The sequence below is a fragment of the Homo sapiens genome, chromosome 2 (assembly GCF_000001405.40).
Source record: "Homo sapiens chromosome 2, GRCh38.p14 Primary Assembly".
NCBI lineage: Eukaryota > Metazoa > Chordata > Mammalia > Primates > Hominidae > Homo > Homo sapiens.
Genome location: NC_000002.12, coordinates 124,030,174 through 124,050,353, shown reverse-complemented (window position 1 = coordinate 124,050,353; position 20,180 = coordinate 124,030,174). Strand labels below are relative to the sequence as shown.

General features: G+C 38.7%; 1 protein-coding gene across 3 annotated transcripts in view, besides 2 other annotated features; it reads right to left on the bottom strand.

Annotated features, from left to right (window-relative positions):
- The window catches only part of CNTNAP5 (contactin associated protein family member 5), an 895,933-nt gene that overhangs the window by 870,866 nt on the left and 4,887 nt on the right, over positions 1–20,180 (bottom strand). The gene's annotated exons all lie outside the window — the stretch shown is intronic.
- Positions 3,113–3,855: an enhancer, noted in NCBI's record as "OCT4-NANOG hESC enhancer chr2:124804076-124804818 (GRCh37/hg19 assembly coordinates)". NCBI's record gives its function as "activates a minimal SCP1, AML or CMV promoter by ChIP-STARR-seq in primed H9 embryonic stem cells {active_cell/tissue: H9 hESC(primed)}" and the evidence as "EXISTENCE:reporter gene assay evidence [ECO:0000049][PMID:30033119]".
- Positions 3,856–4,599: an enhancer, noted in NCBI's record as "OCT4-NANOG hESC enhancer chr2:124803332-124804075 (GRCh37/hg19 assembly coordinates)". NCBI's record gives its function as "activates a minimal SCP1, AML or CMV promoter by ChIP-STARR-seq in primed H9 embryonic stem cells {active_cell/tissue: H9 hESC(primed)}" and the evidence as "EXISTENCE:reporter gene assay evidence [ECO:0000049][PMID:30033119]".

Here is a 20,180-nt window from a genome sequence, read left to right as displayed (position 1 = left end):
TAGCTGAGACTACAGGCACGTACCACCACACCCAGCTAATGTTTTGTATTTTCGTAGAGATGGGGTTTTGCCACGTTGCCGGGGCTGACCTCAAACTCCTGGGCTCAAGTGAGGCCACCTGCCTTGGCCTCCCAAATTACTGGGATTACAGGCATAAGCCACCATGCCCAGCCCATTTCTTTATTCTTAATAATAACAATTGTATTAAGAATATCTATCAATGAGTGAACAGCTACTAGATATTAAGTAGTATGCTTAAGGTATTGCTATGGTTTGAATATTTGTGTACCCCAAAATTCATATTAAAATCCTCATCCCCATGGTGACACTATTAGGAAGTAGAAACTATGAGAGGTGATTAGATCATGAGGGCAGAGCCCTCATGAATGGGATTAGTGTTCTTAAGAAAGAAACCCCAGAGAGCTTTCTCGCTCCCTCCACCATGTGAGATTACAGTAAGAAGTTTCTATCTATAAACCAAGAAGCAAGCAGGCCCTCATTAGACATTGAATCTGCCTGACTCAGAGTTTGATTAGGATTCTCCAGGCTTTACAACTGTAAAAAATACATTTCTGTTGTATATAAATCACCTAGGCTATGGTATTTTATTATAGAAGCCAAAACATATTAATTTAGGTATAATGCAATTGTTAGCTTCTTTAGCCCTCTCCTTAATCATCGGGGTAGGTATCATTACCTTCATGTTACAGTAAAGAAACTGAAGCTCAGAAGGTAACAAGGCTAATGAGTGATAGAGCCTGTGTTTAAATTCAGATGCATTGACCCTTAAACTGGTAATTTTTATTATTTTGTTTTCCTCTAATAGGAAGTAAAGTAGGCCTGATAATTTTATTATGGTTTAAAAAATATAGTTCTGTATACTGAAAAGTCTAAGTTATACATAAAAGTTTTGACTGTTCAGGTTGAAAATCAACACCAGAATCATTCCTAGCAAGAACATCATCTTTAAGACTTAGACAGGAACTACTGCCACCTCTGCATGTCTCTTGGGATGTGAGTAAGCGGTGTGCCTTTCTGAGGCATTCGTATTGCAGCCTCCAGAGACACAGAGCAACATGAAGCCTTCCTGATGGCAATGAATAGTTTCCCACCTCATTTCCTTGTTGCCGCAGACATTCAAAGGGAATAAAAGGACAAAAACTCAGAGTCTTGTTGTGGTACCAAATGAAGGAGATCATAGGGACGTTAACAGTGATAAAGCAAAAAGCCCTGAAATCAGCGTTTCTCAAAGTGACCTCTGCAGAGCAGCAAGCCTGGGTCGTGAGATGAGATATTTGGCTAAGCAAATGGGGGAAGCACTATACTATCCCAGTTTTAGACATCCTCCCTTGCACATTGATATATCAAAAGCATTGGAGAAAATTGCCATTAAAGAAAGAAAAACAAACTTGCATTTGATGTAACCTAACGTATTGCATAACACTCATAAAAATAAATGTGTGTAAATATTTGCCTTAGTGATATTCTTCAAGGACACTGTGTCCAATTTCTGCTGTATACTTATGAGGACATCCAAAATGGTTAGCATTCTTGGGGACTCAAATAACCTTGGATGACCCCGTTTATCACTAGCTCCCTGTCTGAGCATGCACACTGTCAATACTTCCATCTAGGTGAATCAGGTTAAAGGGGGAATAAAAGACTGCCTAAAAAGAAAGCATATTTACCAACAAAAAAGATACTCATTAATCTTTTCATTTTTGAATTTGTATTCCTTTGAAAGTATGATGAATGCAACAGGGCACAAAAACAATTTGGCAAACAATTTAAGAAAGTGTATAGAGAGCCCTCAAATGTCCAATGGACCACTCCAACCAAGTTAACAAATCTCTAAACAGAAATTAGAAACAAACAAAATGTTATCAGGTAATATCTTGGGAGAAACCAATAAAACTCTTTCATGGACACTTACTAAATGGAGACGCAAAGGAAAGAGCAACCATTAAATGGCATATCAGTATTAACTGTCAAGAATGTGCTCAAAATATACGAGGAAGAAAAGAACTCACATTTTACTGACAGGAAATAGGATAGTTAAGAGGTTACTCAAGCTGACATTCCTAGAGTAGAGCTGGTTAACTCCAGTTCTGTTTGATTCTGGAAAGCATTCCCCCATGACACCATGCTGCCAGTTTAAACAGAACAACATAGATGGGTAGCAAGTGTCTCTAGCTTCAAGGAGCAATTTATTTGGGGAAGATTAAAGATATGCATATGACAAGAATACTAGTAAAACAGGCAGAATGTGTTAGAGACACAGAGAAATCGTGCTAAATAAAATAAAGAAATGAATGTTTCAGTGTAGCTTGGAAATGTTTATGACGGAGCTAAGCAAAGAAGTCCTGTGTGTGTGCGTGTGCATGTGCCTGAGTGTGTGTATGCACATGTGCATGCTTGTGCTAGAGGAGCAGTATAAAGACACTGAGAGCACCAGAAACAATGCTCTGGGCTTCCCTGATCCTGGGTCTAAGTGGCATGAAGGCAGGTACTAGCTCTTTACCACTATTGAACACTGTCTACACACAACAGACACTCAATAAATACCATGGAGTGCAAGGAACGATAGAGCTGAAAAAAGAGAGGAGGGCTGAGTAAGGAGTCTGTACCTTGAACCATTTACAGCTGAGTCACTGACTGCACTTTTTCATGCACCAGGGACACAGAGAAAACCTAGATAACATGGAGGTCATCGCAGGAGGCGTGGAGTGCTTCCAGAGCAACAGAATTAATGAGGTTCAGTTGGGCTGCAGCCTTACTACTTGATTGGGTTTAGGCACCAGTGTTAGAATCCAGTATCTCTCCTAGGGATGAATTCCAATATGATTATACACAATATGCAGGTCATGTGAAGTGATGTTGAATGGGAAAATGTATGTGAAGTCGGACAGAACTTGGCTTTGGCCAGATCCGTCCAAGCTCTCTGTGTACCAGTGATAAGCCTTGGGTAAGATACTTCACCTGTCCCAGTTTCACTTTCTCCTCTGTAAAATAAGGATCTAAACACTGACCTTCTGACTTGAAGACTGTAAGTCCTAGAGGCAGTCTCCCTGAGTGGACATTTCACTTTCCAGCTATGTGACTACCCTTCGGTGCCTCTATTTCCTTACCTGTAAACATTCAGCATATTTTACCATGTGGGGTTATTATGAAGATTAAGGCACTAATAGATGTAAATAGCTCGGTATTGTTTCTAGTCTGTAGTAAGTGTTGGATAAATGTTAGGCCATCCTCATCACTTGTCTTGGTCTTATTTTTGCTGTTATCTAGTAAACACTCGATTCTTAGGCTGTGATTGATACTTAAGATGGATCATTTGAACAAGCCGCTCTCTCAAAGCTGTTCTAGGAATTTCTCAGATTTCTGTATCAAAGAAATTTCTTACAATTGGAGACCTTAATGGCCATTCAAGGCCATGTTTTCACTCAAGAAAAAAATGTGTGCCCAAGGCTACATCTCCTTTCCCAGTCCAGCCTCAGCCTTTCTTCACTTCCTCTGTACAAGGCATGGTATCACTCAGGGGATGTTGAGGCATGTCAGTGGAGCTTTTGTCATTATGAAACCATTTTTTAATCCCTATGTCTAAAATGTCCCCTTGGCATTAAAAACCCAATTGTCTTCTTTTCTTGTACGAAAATGTCTAAAATGTCCCCTTAGCATTAAAAACCCAATCGTCTTCTTTTCTTGCAACTTGACCTGGTAGGAACATGATTAGTTAATTGCTGTGGGCACCTGACATTTCAAGGAAAAAATGAATACTTCAGCCACCTTCTTTCTGATGCAAAGGAAAATGATTAAGCTTCAGTGGTTTCTCAGCAGGAGGCGGCTGTTGTCAGGTGGCTATTCAGAGCCTTGCAAATTCTAGATATTAACCTGTTATTCTCTGTTTTTTTTTTTTTTTTCTCTCTTTTGTGAGCAGATCTCAGGGGAGGTGGAGGAAAGGACAAAGGGAAAGGCTCTGAGTAATTTCTTCAAAATCTGTATTCTTTGTATTAAAAATGTTCATTCCTATTAATTCCAGATTGTTTGCAATGTGCCTACTTTGCCACTGGCAAATTGTGACATCTCTGAAGTTTTCCTTTTCTGTCATTGTCTTTTATCTTCTAGAAGACTTTTTCCCTTTTGGGGGGCTCTTTCCCACTCTCTTCAGCACCCCAGAGCTCACACTCACTCCGTCAGGTGCTAGAAAAGGGCACACCACTCAGGCACATTTAGGTTAAATTTCCAGCATCTAGAATAAAGCTGTCCCCTCCTCCCCTCCCTGAGGATGTTCAGGGTAATGAGGATCTCAGAGCCTTTCTTTCTTCATCTTTTCTGGGTCATGGATGCGTTTTGGAAATTGGGTGAAATATAAATACCTTTATCCAAGAAAAATGCAAATATGCAGATATACACACAGTGATGAGTGCACAATTTCAGGGGATTCACAACACCTCTTAAACAAAGAATGTGAATTTTTAAGGGTCCTAATGTGGCACCCATAGCAAGACTCTCTGTGAGAGGCCTGCCAAGGGGGAAGTGGAGGAATGGCCTTTCTGTCAATATTACTTCATTCTACCTTCTTCCCCAACACATAAAGCCAGTAATAGAGATTGTCTAAAAACTGTCATTAGAATAAAAAGAAGGTTATTAATATTATTATTGTCTACACAGTGCATTTTTAAAATCGGAGGGTGTTAAGAGATAAGACATTACATACAACTATAACATCATTCTGTGTTGTAACACTATCTAGTAACTCTGGCTTAAAGAAAACCAGGCCTGGTGCGGTGGCACTTTGGGAGGCCAAGTCGGGTGGATCTTTGAGGTCAGGAGTTCAAGACCAGCCTGACCAACATGGTGAGTCCCCATCTCTACTAAAAATATAAAAATTTGCCAGGCCTGGTGGTGGGCACCTGTAATCCCAGCTACTTGGGAGGCTGAGGCAGGAGAATCACTTGAACCTGGGAGGTGGAGTTTACAGTGAACGAGATTGCACCATTGCTCTCCAGCCTGTGTGACAGAGCTAGATTCCATCTCAAAATTTAAAAAAAAAAAAAAAAGGAAAAGAAAAGAAAATCAAAGTTTGGCGAAAGACATTTATTTTCAAATGAAGGCCAATGTGGAAGACTTACCTAGACCCACAGAAATTGAATCAGGGGTATTTGTTATTAAGCTTGCTTGTTTGCTTTTTCCCTGAGGCATCTTGAAGTGGGAAAACAGTGAATTCATTGATATCAAGTTTCTGTGAACACATTTTGGAGCCAGAGACATATTTGAAATCTCATGTTTTATTTGAAAGTTTCCTGAAATTTTGTATTCTACTCCAGAACATATTTGTATTTTTTAAGATATACACATAATGTGTATTTCTTACTCTTTGGATGAAATTGACATTCCAGGAAGATGGGCCTCACTTATTCATGTGTGTGTGTGTGTGTGTGTGTGTGTGTGTGTGTGTGTGTGTTTCCTCACTACCATTGCTTCCGTCTGTGGCGGGGTTGGGATTACAGCTACAATTAAGAAGTTTAGTTTCTGAGATAAGGTCAACCTGAAGGATATGTGTCCTCAAACATGCCAAGATCATTTCACAGCATCCACCATCATGACAGTTGAGGAGATATAAGCAACCATATGGCTTTATGAAATATTTAAGCAAGAGAAAAAGCACACTGGGGAACTATCAGAAAAGAGCCAATATAAATCATCACCTCCATAAGGGTGGCCGTGGGAAGGTGGAACCCAAGACCTGTGGGACTCTCTGTAGTCCACAGTTTGAAAAAAAATAGCCATGGTTTATATTCAGAAATTGAATGTCTTTCTTTACCAATATCTAAGACCAGTTCCTGGTTTAGAATTGGTGTTCTAAAAATATTTGTAAAATGAATACAATTTCCCCCAATTAATTAGAATGATATATTGACAAACTGCTAGGAGCTCACATCCTACCTGGGTTGTGAAATCTTTTCTCCAGCGTAAAGGACACAGTACTTTGGGTTCAGAGACCAGGGCTGGATTTCAGGCAAACTATTTAATAATTGTATAAAGTTAAGAAAGTTACTTGGACACTCTAAACATAAATTTATTCATCTAAAAAGTAAGAATAATGGTATTAACCATATAGGGTCATGAGCCAGATTAGTAGTAATGTATGTCAATGATAAGATCTGGCACACCGTAAGCAGTACTCCTATTGCTATAGACAGAGGCTATATTAAATGTAATTCTTCTCATTGATTGCAGTTCAATGTACTCTGAATGAAAATAGAAGTGGAAGCCAATAAAAGACAGCATATAATACAGGGCTTAAAGATGTAATGTATACTGTACAAGCATTAAGGATTTAGAGGACAGTCATACTAATTAAGACTAGAGAAGAGAGGACAAGAACTGGCCCATGGGGAAGATCTGGGCAGATAAAGGTAAGATGTGAGTTCAAAGTTCACTTAATTTGGGAGAAACCCAAAATTGTACCAGTTATCCCTGAAAAAAGTAAAGAGACTGATTTACATTAGTTGAGGGCCAAGTAAGTGAAAGAGTGAGTGAGAGAAAGTAGAGACAATGTCCTTTCCACAACACAATTTTTTGGTACTTTCATTTTAGACTTTGAGGTTTATGTTGTTGTAAACTTCACTGAATCTTCTCTCCCACCCAGGATTCCTTATGACCATCACATTGTAGCCCACACAGGTTGGTAAGCACAAATCAGGATTGCATTCTATTCCAGACATCATATTTTAAAGAAAACATTGGCAAAATGGAATACACTACAAATAGGAGAACATGATGATGGGAAGTCCAAGGGAAAGGAATCATGTCATAGAAAAAATTAAGTAAAAGAAGATATAAAAAGATTGAAAAGATTGAGAGAAGTGTGGTGGCTATCGTTAGGTATTTGTGGAATAATTATGATGAAGACAAAGAAGGCTTGGTTTGAGATGTCCAGTGAGTAGAGCTAAGGAGAGTGGTTTGGTGGTACTTGAAGCAGACTTATGTACAGTGGAAGAAAGAATGTCCTACCAACTATAATTTTTGTTGAGGAACTGAGCTGTCTTGTGAGGTCCCACCTCTTCACTTAGGAGGTTAAGTAAAATAGAATAGTCAACTATCTGGAATGTTTTAGGGAATGTGGTGATCTATATACATTATGCAGGGTAGGCTGGACTACATCACTTCCAAGGTCCTTTTCCCAACCCAGCAGTCTCTTACTTCTGATTTTATCACTTTCCTTTTTCAAAAGGCAGACATCCAGTAGAGACCAAGGCCATCCATCTTCTTTCCATTGAAAAGACAAATTAAAGACTATTTCTAATGTAATTGATGTTAAAAATTGAATATTGGACTGGAGAAGATAAGCAATCAAAGCCAGGATTATTATCTAACTGATCTTTGAGCTCTAAATAAGGTAGAGAGTGTCATCTAAATAGATTGGTTCATGGCCTTTCCTGAGTCACGTAGTTACGTCACCTCCAAAGCATAGGCAACTTCGGCACCTTTAGTTTTTATCCCATTTTTCAAACATAGATGATAGATAGATAGATAGATAGATAGATAGATAGATAGATAGATAGATGATAGAGAGTTACGCTTATGCAAGAGGGGGTCTACAAAAAGAAAAAATTTGACAGAATGTGCTTTACTATAAACAGACTTCAGTGATTGCATTATAGCACATGCACCCTGCCAAAAGATGTCCTGACCAGATAATTTTTAAACAGAGGTAGAAATTTAAACCAACCTTAAAAATGCTTTGAAAACCTAAAACTGGTATAAAATTTACCTTTGCAGTTCCTAGTCCAGGATACGTACCCCAAGTCCAGGATATGTACCCTCAGTCCCTCTTTGCACTGTGCCCATGTCCTCCATGTTATCCTTGTCTGTCTAAAGCCTATGAGGACAGTACAGCCAGGCCATTACTCCTCCAAATAATGAAAAGTATAATAAATATGATTTCAGCAAAATCATGGTTACACCTTCTTAAAAATATTCTTTATCTCATGTTATTCACAATAGAAAATAGTTGGGGAGGGTATCATCACCTTTTTTGGGAAAAGGTGTGAAATAATGAAAAGGAATTTATATAGCCAGTAAGCAGAACCAGGATGAAAGTATATGTCATCATATTTCTCTTCTATTTTATATATCTCTCTATAAGTCTAAATGCTGGAAGAAAACCTCTTTTAAAAATTTTTAATTGGCTGGGCATGGTGGCTCATGCCGGTAATCCCAGCACTTTGCGGGGCCGAGGCAGGTGGGTCACCTAATGTCAGGAGTGTAAGACCAGCCTGGCCAACATGGTGAAAACCCTTCTCTACTGAAAATACAGAAATTAGTTGGGCATGGTGTCTCACACCTGTAATCCCAGCTATTCGGAGGCTGAGGCAGAAGAATCACTTGAACCCAGGAGATGGTGGTTGCAGTGAGGTGAGATGGCCCCACTGCACTCCAGCCTGGGCAACAGAGTGAGACTCTGTCTCAAATTATATATATATATATATGTAATTTGACACATCATGATGCATAAATCACTAATAGATCTAAACTAGTCTCTCAACCCTTGATTATCTTCACATTTTGAGCTACATAATTATCTGTTGTGGGAGACAAAAGACAACATATAATACAATGTGTGTTGTAGAATGTTCCTTTCCAATATCTCTGATCTCTATTCACTATATGCCAATAGAAACCCCCAAGCTGTGACAACCAAAAATGTCTCCAGACCCTACCATATGTCCCCTGGGGCAAAGTTACATCTGATTGAAAACCACTAATCTGACTCCACGTTAATTCCTTTTTAAAAAAAGAAGCACAAACTAAACTAATTGACAGTAAGTGTATATGTTTGCTATGTGTAGGATGTGTGCCTATACACATGCAAATAATGCATGAAGAAACCACCCAATGTCTTTGGCTTCTTCTAGGACTCAAACCTTCCCAGCACATAAAAGCAGTGGATGGTGTGTAAAATGAGACTTTCATTGGCCATCAAGTGAGGTATTTTTATTTCCTCATACACAAAATGACATCATTTCCTGATGAACCACAAAACACTTAGCTATAGGAACCCAATAAGTCAAATTGAATTTGCCAACAAAAATTGATATTTATGCAGAAGACATAGAAATCTTTACTCTAAACAATGTATCAACAAGGGTGAGAACATCAATAGAGTTATGCATTCTCCCCTAGGATTGATTTTGTTTCAGTTGCTCAGATGTTTTTTGGATTAACTTTACTAATGAATTTTTACAGTGGTTGATTCCCTTGACTACTAAGCCACAGTCTGTGCTTAATTATGATATGTTTGCCTAAGTCCAGGTCTTTTCTCAGACCATTCATGGCTAGGAAAGATTTGTGGGGATGACAAACTAATACTCCTTGTTTGTAAAGGACAAAACCAAGAATGCACTGCCTATGAATATTTGTATAGAAAAGCATAGATGAATTCCACTCATATACAACAAAATACAGCAACTGTCACCATTATACTTGTATTTAAATGCCTTATTTTAAGGTTGAACATTTCTCAGTATATATATTGTGACCCAGTACGCAAAATTAATGCAACAGTTATAATAAGAACAACAGGAAATATTTCTATTGTAGTCTCACAATTTTAGAATTTGTGGTTTGATATATTAAAAGCTCTCTACCAAAGATGTCTCTGTCTTCTGCCAGTAAAGAAGTAAGCACTGTTACACACACACACACACACACACACACACACACACAGAGGCATACAGAGGCACACAGGCACACACAGGCACACAGAATTGAACATATTATATTTGTATGAACATACATATATATATGTACAAACACATTATATTTACAAAACACATGGCATACTGTAAGGTTATCTGAAAACGACGAATCAATACCTCAAAACCAAAGGAACTACTGTGTAATTTTATGTCTCTTCCTGTATTCTTTATATAATTAGATAATTGTTGAAGGAGCTTTGTGTTTTTCAGGTAACAGTATCTTGCCCTAAATAAACTCCAAGGCCAAGGTGCTCACTAATCCAATGTGTACTTACTATCCATATGATCAAATATCACGATCTCCTGATTGTGGTATTGAAATGTCAAGCCGAATACATTTGAAGTTCACAGTCTATCTGTTAGGCAAAAGAACCATGTGAAAGAGGTATAAAAATAACCACAGTAAATCAGAATGCAAAGAATGATTATTGAACGCCACCCTGAAACAAGCAGACACGGTGGAGCATGTCTGCACACCTCCCAACAGCATTTGATTTCAGAAAATAAGTAGATATTAATTTCCATCCAAATGACCATTTCAATTCATCATCTAGAGAGGTAAATATTCACAAAGGTGACACCTAAGTCAATATTGACCTTGGGGGATAATAAATCTTGACAGTTACCAGAACAAGTGGTTTACATAGCGGATATGCACATGTACAATTCCACCAGGTGCACTAACCATGAAAAAAAACTAAAAATAAATCATTAAAAATCTGAGCATGCATATATATGTGTGCATACTATTTAATATTAGTAAATTATTTTGAGTAATCCATTAAATATACCATCCTATATTTAATTATTGCTCATATTAAATTTTATTACCCATACAAAGCAGGGACATTTGGGATTCACTGGGGGGAGGAGAGAGCGCAGTGTAGACCTAAATAAAAGGATTTTGTGATGAATGGCACCCGAAGTAAACACTCAAGGATGTGTTTAAAATTAATATTCTGACCAGAATCAGAAATGAAGACTGAATCCAGGTGTGTGACAATTTTATTTAATTTGTATACTTTCATCACTTCTACTCACATTACTTAACATCAGGGAGCACTGAGATAGCCTCGCTGATGGAGCCCAAAGGTCCATTTATTTCACAGATGTTGGGAGACAGAGGCTTGAAGCGGTGGAGGGAGCACTGCACTATAAGCCAACACTCAGGGGTTTGCCCCGTATTATCCCTCATCCAGGCTTTCTGTCTATGCTTGGGTTTCACCTAACCTGTTGTGCTTCAATTCAATTTATTAAGTAGTTATTTTGCCATTTACTGTGCTATATATGGGCAATTTAATCACAGCTAACATGAGATTCCTTTTTTGGAGGAGGTCCCAAGGGAATGCCTGGAATGCAGGTAGATAATGCAAGCGCTTTCACAAAACAGTTATTTAAAATACAAACAGCTATTAACCACAAACTAAGGATATCAAGATAAGGACACAAGTATTTGACAAGCTACCATCTTTTCAAATCAGTAAATTCCAATAAGATTGTCTTGCCCTGACACTCATATGAATGGTAGCAAGATATATCAGATTTACAATGGTTTAGAATAAAGCGTCTGCTTATTTAGTGTAACTTAGGGCAGAGATCATATTTGAAGTATTTCCCAGCCTGGACATCAGCTCCCGGACCAATACAAGCAGAGGCAGGTGGGGCACACCCAGTGTGGCTCTGCTGCTGTGCACCAGCCAGGCATGGACCATGACTGAGGTGGGATTCCATCCCCACTCTTCCTCAAATGTTCTTGTACCTAGTTGCTTTTGCGTGAAATTGTAGGCTTAGAGATTCCTGCAATTAAGAATAAGGCAGAAGTCTTCACACGGTACCTACATGAAGAATCAGAAGAAGGGCAGGCTGGATGGTAGGATTCTAGGCCCTTCATTCTATTTTCTTCAAAGCCGCTCTTGTAATTTATTTTACATATTAAAATCATATGTAAGATTTCATTTAGTAAACCAAAAGTTCTGCTTTTAAAACAAAATTTAAATATTTAAGGCTTCATTCCTTGAAAGGCTAATTATTTTTGAGAGCTAGAACACTACATTGATTAATTGCCTCAGTGTGAAAAGCCTCAGAATACTCTGTGTCCTTTTTTGATAGCTCCCGTTGTTGATGCAGAAGAGAGGCAAGACTGTAAGGCACTGGACATTGAACAAATTATTTTGCCTCTCTAAACCCAAGCAAGCAGGTCCTCTGAGTCAAGACAATAGCTGAAATAGAAGATACAGGAGACCCAAAGACAGGCCTCACAACCAAGCCAAGCAGCAGGCCTAAGTTCTCAAACTCATGAGAACTTGAGAATAAAACAAAGCATTTACTACTGTGGTTTTCTATACAGCTGACAATGAAAGCAGGTATGTACAAGCACTGGTCCTTGCCTACCAACGGGATCCTCCGAAGCCAGTCGGACAGGGTCCCATCACTGAGCACTAGTCAGTGATAATCAGTGGTGAAAAATAATGGAATTGGGTATACACTTGTCAAACCTAACCTTCTGTCTATCCCTATTGGGTAAAAAGAGCTTACAGTCTGGATTTGGGGATGAATCTTGCAGCGTGAAGACAAAGAACAGATCTGAATGCATCCAATAATTACCTTGTTTGAAACTATTATCTTAGTGTCAGGAATAAGGTTTTTCTAATTAGTACAAAATTTTATTGTTTATTTAATTGGTCTATATAAATTGTATGTATTTGTGGAGTACAACATAATGTTTTGATATATGTATACAGTGTGAAATGGTAAAAATATTTAAATCTTACTCTCAGCAATTCTCAAGTATATAATACATTATTGTTAAGTATAGTCACCTTGCTGTACAAAAGATCTCTAGAACTTATTCCGCCTTTCTAAGTGAAACTTTGTACCCTTTGACCAACATCTCCCATCCCTCCCCACACCTACAGCTCCTGGCAACAACCATCCTACCTCCTGCTTCTAGGAATTTGAATTTTTTAGATTCCACATATAAGTGAGTTTGTGTAGCATTTGTCTTTCTGTGACTGGCTTGTTTCACTTGACATAATGTCCTCCAGGTTAATCTATGTTGTCACAAATGACAGAATTTCCTTCTTTTTCAAGGTTGACTAGATTCTGTTGTGTTTTTATACTGTGCACTTTTTATCCATTAATCTGCTAATGAACACTTAGGTTAGTTTCATGACTTGACTATTGTAGATAATGCTGCAATGAACATGGGAGAGCAGAATTTAAAGATAAAATCCATGAAACAAATTCTAGGGCTGCAGTATTCTTTAGGGGTGAAATATTATGTAGTGATAAAAATACTGCACTTAGTGACAGGAGGAGTCTCAGGAACAGACACTAATAGTGGGCAGTGATCATGGAATCCACAAGGCCATCAGTGAAAGCATGAAGCCTGGCCACAAAAAGTTGGTGAAAAGCTTTAGTGAGCAATACAAGCAACTTTTATAAACAGCTAACCTACAGGAACTGGTTGACATAGTGACTTCTAGATATGGGGAAGGAGCCTTCTGCAAGACTGGAATAAGATGGCCTGAAGATTGGGGCAGAATCTGTGGGTCTAGACACATGAGGGTTTTCTCACCCTGGATTATAGGGAAAGACTGTCTTTGCTAGGACGAATTATCTGCTGGAGTTTAACAATAGCTAAGTCTTTGTGTTGAGTTCACTGAAACAGCAGATAAAATTTTTCAAAGTATGAGTTTTGGAGCCAAGGAAAAGTGGGTTAAAATCCCAGTGTGACCACCTATAGCTATATAATCTTGGGTAAATTACCACACCATCCAAGCCAGTATATCCTCAGCCTAGAATGGGGAAAAGAACAACTGTCTCTTAGGACTGTTGGTAACAAATAGAGTAAAATCTTACCAAGTACCAACCTTGGCACAGAGTGTAGGTTTGAAACCCTGCCGAGAAAGAAGCACATTACTTAACTTTATCTCTAATCTCCAGTGTTCCAGCATTCCAATCTGCTTGGTTTCATTTCTTTGGATTGTGTCAAAGGGTTCCTGATTGTTGCAGAATCAGAGGCATTAATCTTTTAATATCCTGGTGGTTTCAGCCTATCAGAAAGCATCTGCCCTGGTTGACCCCATTACTGTCAACTGACAGAGCACATTCACTCAAAGGTACAACTCATGGATGTGGCAGCATAGTCCCAGGTGACCGTAACAGGGGCGAGCAGTATCTGAAGACTTGGGGTGGGACTGGGGTTTCTTGTAACCCACAGCTCATCCAAAACTTAGTGAACAGTTTCTGTTCACTAAGCCAGTCTGTGGGTTTCCTTTTCCCTTGTGAATTAATAAGTCCTTCTTACTCCCCATTATTGATTAATGATAATATGCGGTTCACAGATTAAGAGTTCATCCTGGGAGGCCGGGCGCGGTGGCTCACGCCTGTAATCCCAGCACTTTGGGAGGCCGAGGCGGGTGGATCATGAGGTCAGGAGATCGAGACCATCCTGGCTAACAAGGTGAAACCCCGTCTCTACTAAAAATACAAAAAATTAGCCGGGCGCGGTGGCGGGCGCCTGTAGTCCCAGCTACTCGGGAGGCTGAGGCAGGAGAATGGCGTGAACCCGGGAAGCGGAGCTTGCAGTGAGCCGAGATTGCGCCACTGCAGTCCGCAGTCCGGCCTGGGCGACAGAGCGAGACTCCGTCTCAAAAAAAAAAAAAAAAAAAAAAAAAGAGTTCATCCTGGGAAATGCAGCAACCTGTTGTTCTGAGATGAGGAGAGAGACCACGAAGTAGGACTCTGTGACACAGGAATACTGGAAAACATAAATGTGGAGAAAGAGCCAAAAAACTGAAGCCTTTGCCCCTGGGATTATGCAGCCCTCTGCTATGGGTTAAGCTAATAAACTTGGGTCATCAATTTTAATTGGGGATTTGGGGAAAATATTTTATTATAGTATAAACATGGATATAATATGGAGCTGAATGCAAATTTGCCTGAGTGTTGAAGATAAAATTTAAGAAATTACATGCTTCAGTGGCCATTTGAAGCTGAGCTCATAGAATCCCCTGGGTTCCCGTGCACTCTATTTCCCGGTGAGCAGCACTTCAGTGGAAAGTTTGAAAAGCATTAACTTATGCCATAAAACATAAAAACAAGACATTTAGTAAAAGTTAATTGCAACAGGAAGAGTGAGGGAAGGGAGGTAGAAGGAAGAGATGGAGAGGAAGAAGATAGAAAGGAAAGGAGTAGAAGAACATGGGGAAGAGAGACGAGAGGAAAGAGAAGGAAGAAAAGAGGATTAGAAAGAAAGCAGATCAGCAACTTGGGGAAGAATATTGAAAATAAAGGAGCAGGGGGAAAAGACTTAAAAAATAAGAGATACTTCATACATGGAGCAAGAGTAAAGGAATGATGGAAGGGTGAGTCACAGTGCTATGACCTTCCTTTGAGATGGTACAGTTACCTTTTGTTTTGGTTTTCTCTGGAGCTATGTGGATGGCAATTCTAATCTTTCTTCTTATCAAGTGTTTTGTCATGAACAAAAATATTTCAGAAGTGTACAGATAAATGGATGGGCACTAGGCATTTCATAAATATCTGAAGAAGGAAGGAAGGAAGGGAGGGAGGGGAGGGGAGGGGAGGGGAGGGAGGACTTGTGGATAACATGTCTTAATAACTCATCATGATGCAGTACCTGATTTTTAACCCAAAATCAACAGGAAAATAGGAATACTTAATGCCATTTATTCACCAGAAACAGACTTCAGTAGTACACAGGAGGGTAATGTGGCTCTCTCAACTTTCCAATTCTAGGTCCATCTGCCTGAATCTCCTGCAAATGGTGGTCTTAGGGAGCTGAGAACATTGTCACACACACTCCTTCCCAGGATCATGGGTTTACCTAAGGTCTGTTTAAGGATCTTTCTGCCATAATGCTGACATCTTCTCCATTGCCCTCTTCAGTTTTTTGGAGGGGCTGTGCTCCTCACTTCTCTAGATGAAGCTTGTTTCCCCCACTCTTATGGGGCTCCTTTTGTGAGTTTCTCAGCTAGCAGTTTCACTGGCCAAGGCCTAGAAGCAGTGATTATGCTATGACCCAACCCAGGAACTAAGTGAGGGATCCAGAACGGTGATATTTCTCTGCCAGGTGAAGGTAGACTCTACTCATTGTCTGTTTACATGGGAGATAAAATGAGAACAAATTTGTATTTGTCTTAGCAGTGACTCACCCATCCGATTACCCAGATGAAGGGGAAGTGGGCCAGACTTTGTTTGAAAATGGAAATGTAGCTGTCCTTGCCCTACACTGTATTATTAGTTATTATGAGAAAATCCATGCTGAGTTTCATTAATAATTATAACAGGTATAATGATTGGATGTCCACATTATATGTATTTTATGCAGAGCCACTCATACTTACAGACTTTGCAAGGTGCATGTTAGTATACACAGAACATATTCACAGAATGAGAATTAAATCAATCCCAAACTGTGTGACATATGCCCTTCTCACTGTCCTTTTTCATCTCCCCATTGGCCATCTACTGTACTTTTGGCCATGTAATATGAGGGAGGGTTTCAGCCTGGGCAAAAATAGGAAAGCAGCAACACTTGTTTTGCACACCTAGAACATCCCTGTTCTTTCTCCTTCCAGATTCAAAACATTATCCTCCCTTTTCCAGATACCCAGTACTATCTCTTTCACACACTTTTTTTTTTTTCTGGAAAAGGTCTGTTTCTCTGTCAAGTACAGTATAGATTTGCTTTCCTATACTCAGTGGGGTTCTGTGTCTTAAAGCTTATCTATATGAATTGGAAGGCTCCCTTCCCCACACAACTCTACCCATATTTACAGATTCAGGAGATTAATGGAGTTAGCAGAAGGGTTGTTTGGGGACAGAGTTGGATGGAGCATTGCAATCAAGGGGCCTTCCCAGGTTCCCTGTGGCACCAGGCCCATGTCTGGCCTGCATCAGTAACAGGTCTTGTCTGGAAGTTTCACTTTTGATGACTATGCCCATGTTGTTTAGCAAGGCAGCACTGGAATCTCAAAGACTTCTTACCCTTTTATCGTACATCTGAAAGAGAATCATCTCCTCAGGGAAAAGTCAATGGTAATACACAAACCACATGGTCACAAGATAGAAGAAAAGGAATGGGGAAGAGAAGAAGAAAGTGTGAGAAGAAGGGAGGGAGGGGAAAACAGAGATACAACTGAACCCACCTATTCAGTAAATAGTGGCCTAGACTAATACCTACATAACATCAGTCTGTTTGGCACATTTCTTTAGACTGCTATTTGCTTTGGATTGCCTTTAGAAGGATATTTCTGCTTCTAAAGGTGGATAGTTAAAAATAATATAACTCACAAGCAGTGTTTTGGCATTTCCCTTCACTTTCTTTCTATCTTCAACATTACTGTTGTCATCCTTTAAAACTCTATCAATTCAGCTGATCCTGTGAACAGATGGCATTAATCAACCCCCAAGAATATGCACAAAAGCAATTAGAAATGTAGAGACATGGAATTTACGCCAGCAAATCAATTACCAATGATAGCACATCAGCGTAGCACACCCAACTTCCCCTTGTTTCTCTTTCCACTGAGCAGCCCCTGATAGCAGTAATGATCCCTGGTTTATCCCCCTGTCAGAGGGGGAATGAGAACTGGGATGTTGAGGTTTAATTACACATTCCTTAATGACTAGTTCTCACTCTGCTGACAAAAACCAGCATAATTTACAGACTAGAAGATGCATCAGGATGATGGATAGAGACAGCATGTGCTATACAATGTCATGCAAATATGAAATATACTGCACTGAGAATATGGTCGTTTGGTATTCCCAGAGAAGAACTTCATTTCAGAGAACTGAGTACCTTTTCTAGCATCTATCCCTCTCATTTGTCAAAAACAATCGAAACAGCTATAGAATACATTTTACAAATGTAAAATGTATTCTATACATTATGCAGAATACAAATCTGTACCTTCTGTGAGTTTACTAGCTCATATATGCCTAGGTCTTAAATTTACTTGGCCATTATTTTTTTTTCCAATGCTGTGTAACTTTTGTAGATTCAGATATATCTATCCTTCTTTATTTAAGGTCTTACTAATTGTCACTTGAGTTATTGTAATCATCTCTTAACTGGTTTTCTTGCCACCAGTCTTGGTCTATTCCAGTCTATCCTTCACAGAGTAATTTTTTTAAAGCAAAAAAATCTGACTATAATCATTACCTGTATAAAAACATTCAATGAATCTCCATAGCTTTAAAAATAAAAGACTCTCATGCTTACCTACAACTCTAATTTTTTCTTCTATCCTTCTACCAAGTAATAACTGCCCCCCTCCCATTTCTCCAGCTAGCAAAATCTGACAGTTGAAATCTTAGATGAATTTGTTTTTCCTCAAAGAGCATACTTTGATGCCCCAGCCAGTATGAGATGCTCATTTTGTGCCTTAAAGTGCATGCCGTGTTTACCTTTATCATAGCATTTATCACTCTGACATGACTAAAGGTTTATTTTTCTAACTACCAAGTGTTCAAAGTTTCTTGAGGTTATGGACTATATTTTCTTATTCATTATTATTTCTCCAGATTCATAGACAAACTTGAGTTTAGCAAAGAGAAACTGTAGTTCTAAAATAATGTTTTCAAATGCATAACACACAAAAAAACTATTAACATTTAAATCTGCTCTTGACCACAGCTTAAAAAGATGACATAGGATTCATGGAATCATGTTATCAGGGTAATGGTGTAGGCTTGCAATAAAAAAAGAGAGATCTTTTCAATAATTTATTAATAAAGCCCCATTGAGTATAACCCAAACTTCTCCTTTTTATACTGATCCTTGGGCTATAAAATAGTTTTTATAGCAATGTGATTATGTATTTTTTTTAGATTCTATAAGCAACACTCATTAAAATTCCATAAAGCAAGTTAATAAAATTGGCTCCAACTTGATACTGAAGTCAGTGGATGGAGAGGCTTCCTCTGTTAGGAACAAATGGCCATGTGATACATAAATAAGACCATCATAGCAATGAAGTCATGGAAATATGAAAGCTTCTATAGCTGCAGGGGCTCATTTTTCAGCTCCCGCATCCAATCAGGTGATCTGAACTTCTGTTCTTTCCTTTAATAGCTAACCGCTTCTTGGTATTTCCAAAACAGTAATGAGTTGTACTTGTTTCAAAAATAAACATAAAACAAATTTTAAAAGTAATACTCTAGCAATAGAGCCAAGAGAGAATTTTAGTTTAGAAATAAGCATTCTTAGCAGGAAACCAATCATTTATTCTCTCATCCTTTCACTTGCCCAATGTTTTACGCATTGAATATAGACTTTCAAATAAAATATGACCATCAGAGAACTTTGCATCCTAGTTGAGGAGACAAGGATTGTTAATACTATGGAAATGTAATATATAGGGACACTTGATATGCCTGAGAAAAATATTTCTGGGCATGTGTGTGTGTGTGTGTGTATGTATAGCGGGGAGAGAGTGAGAGAAGATAACAAAGAAAAAGGGTATTCTAGACCAAGCAGGCAGTCTATGAAAATAAATGCAAGATTTGAAACAACATAGCTTGTTTGTGGAATGTGAAGGAGTTTCATAACTTTGTGTTGGAGGAGTGGTGAAGATGAGGTTTAGCAGAGCCAGATCAGGGCCAGTCCTGTGCTAGGACAAGGAATTCATAACTACTAGTTAATTAATACTTGTTGGTCTGACATCTGTAGACTTACAACCCGTCATGTCAACATGTGCCTTTCATGGTACTGTGTGTTTCTGTATGTGTAGGAAAGGGATTCACAAGTCCTCATCAAGGCTATGTCCTTTCCCTATCAACTTTTTAAATCAAAGCTCATAAAAAATAAAGCATCAAGTGCTCATCCAGATGAGGCTCTTATCTTTGGTCATTGTGATGTTTAGCATTTTGCATCAAATCTAGATCTCCATTTTTTTTTTCTTTTAGATGTGACTCTGGAGTTGGCTGTGGTGCTAACTGCTACTCTCATGCCCTTTGCCATGGGTAGAGCTACAGAAATTAACCATAAAGAACCCATGTCAAGTTTCCACAGATATGTATATACACAGTGTCAAAGTGAATGTTTTGGAGTAAGTTTCATATCTTGCAAAGAGTTTGGTGTTTGATAATAGATAAATATAGGTCCAGATGTTGATTTTTTATTGTTTAGATCTGTGATCTTGAGGAAATCATTAACTTCTACTAACCTTGAATATGCTCATCTGTAAACTGGATCTGTAAGTATACCTAGCTGTACTGCCTTGGTAATTTATGTGGACACAATATGAGGTGAGAGATAAGTGTATAGAAGTTGGTAAGAATTAAAACCCTACTATATTGTTATTCTAATTATAATTGCTTTACAATGTTAGAATATAATCATCCCAGAAATATCCAAATAAAATGACCAGTAGGCAATATCAG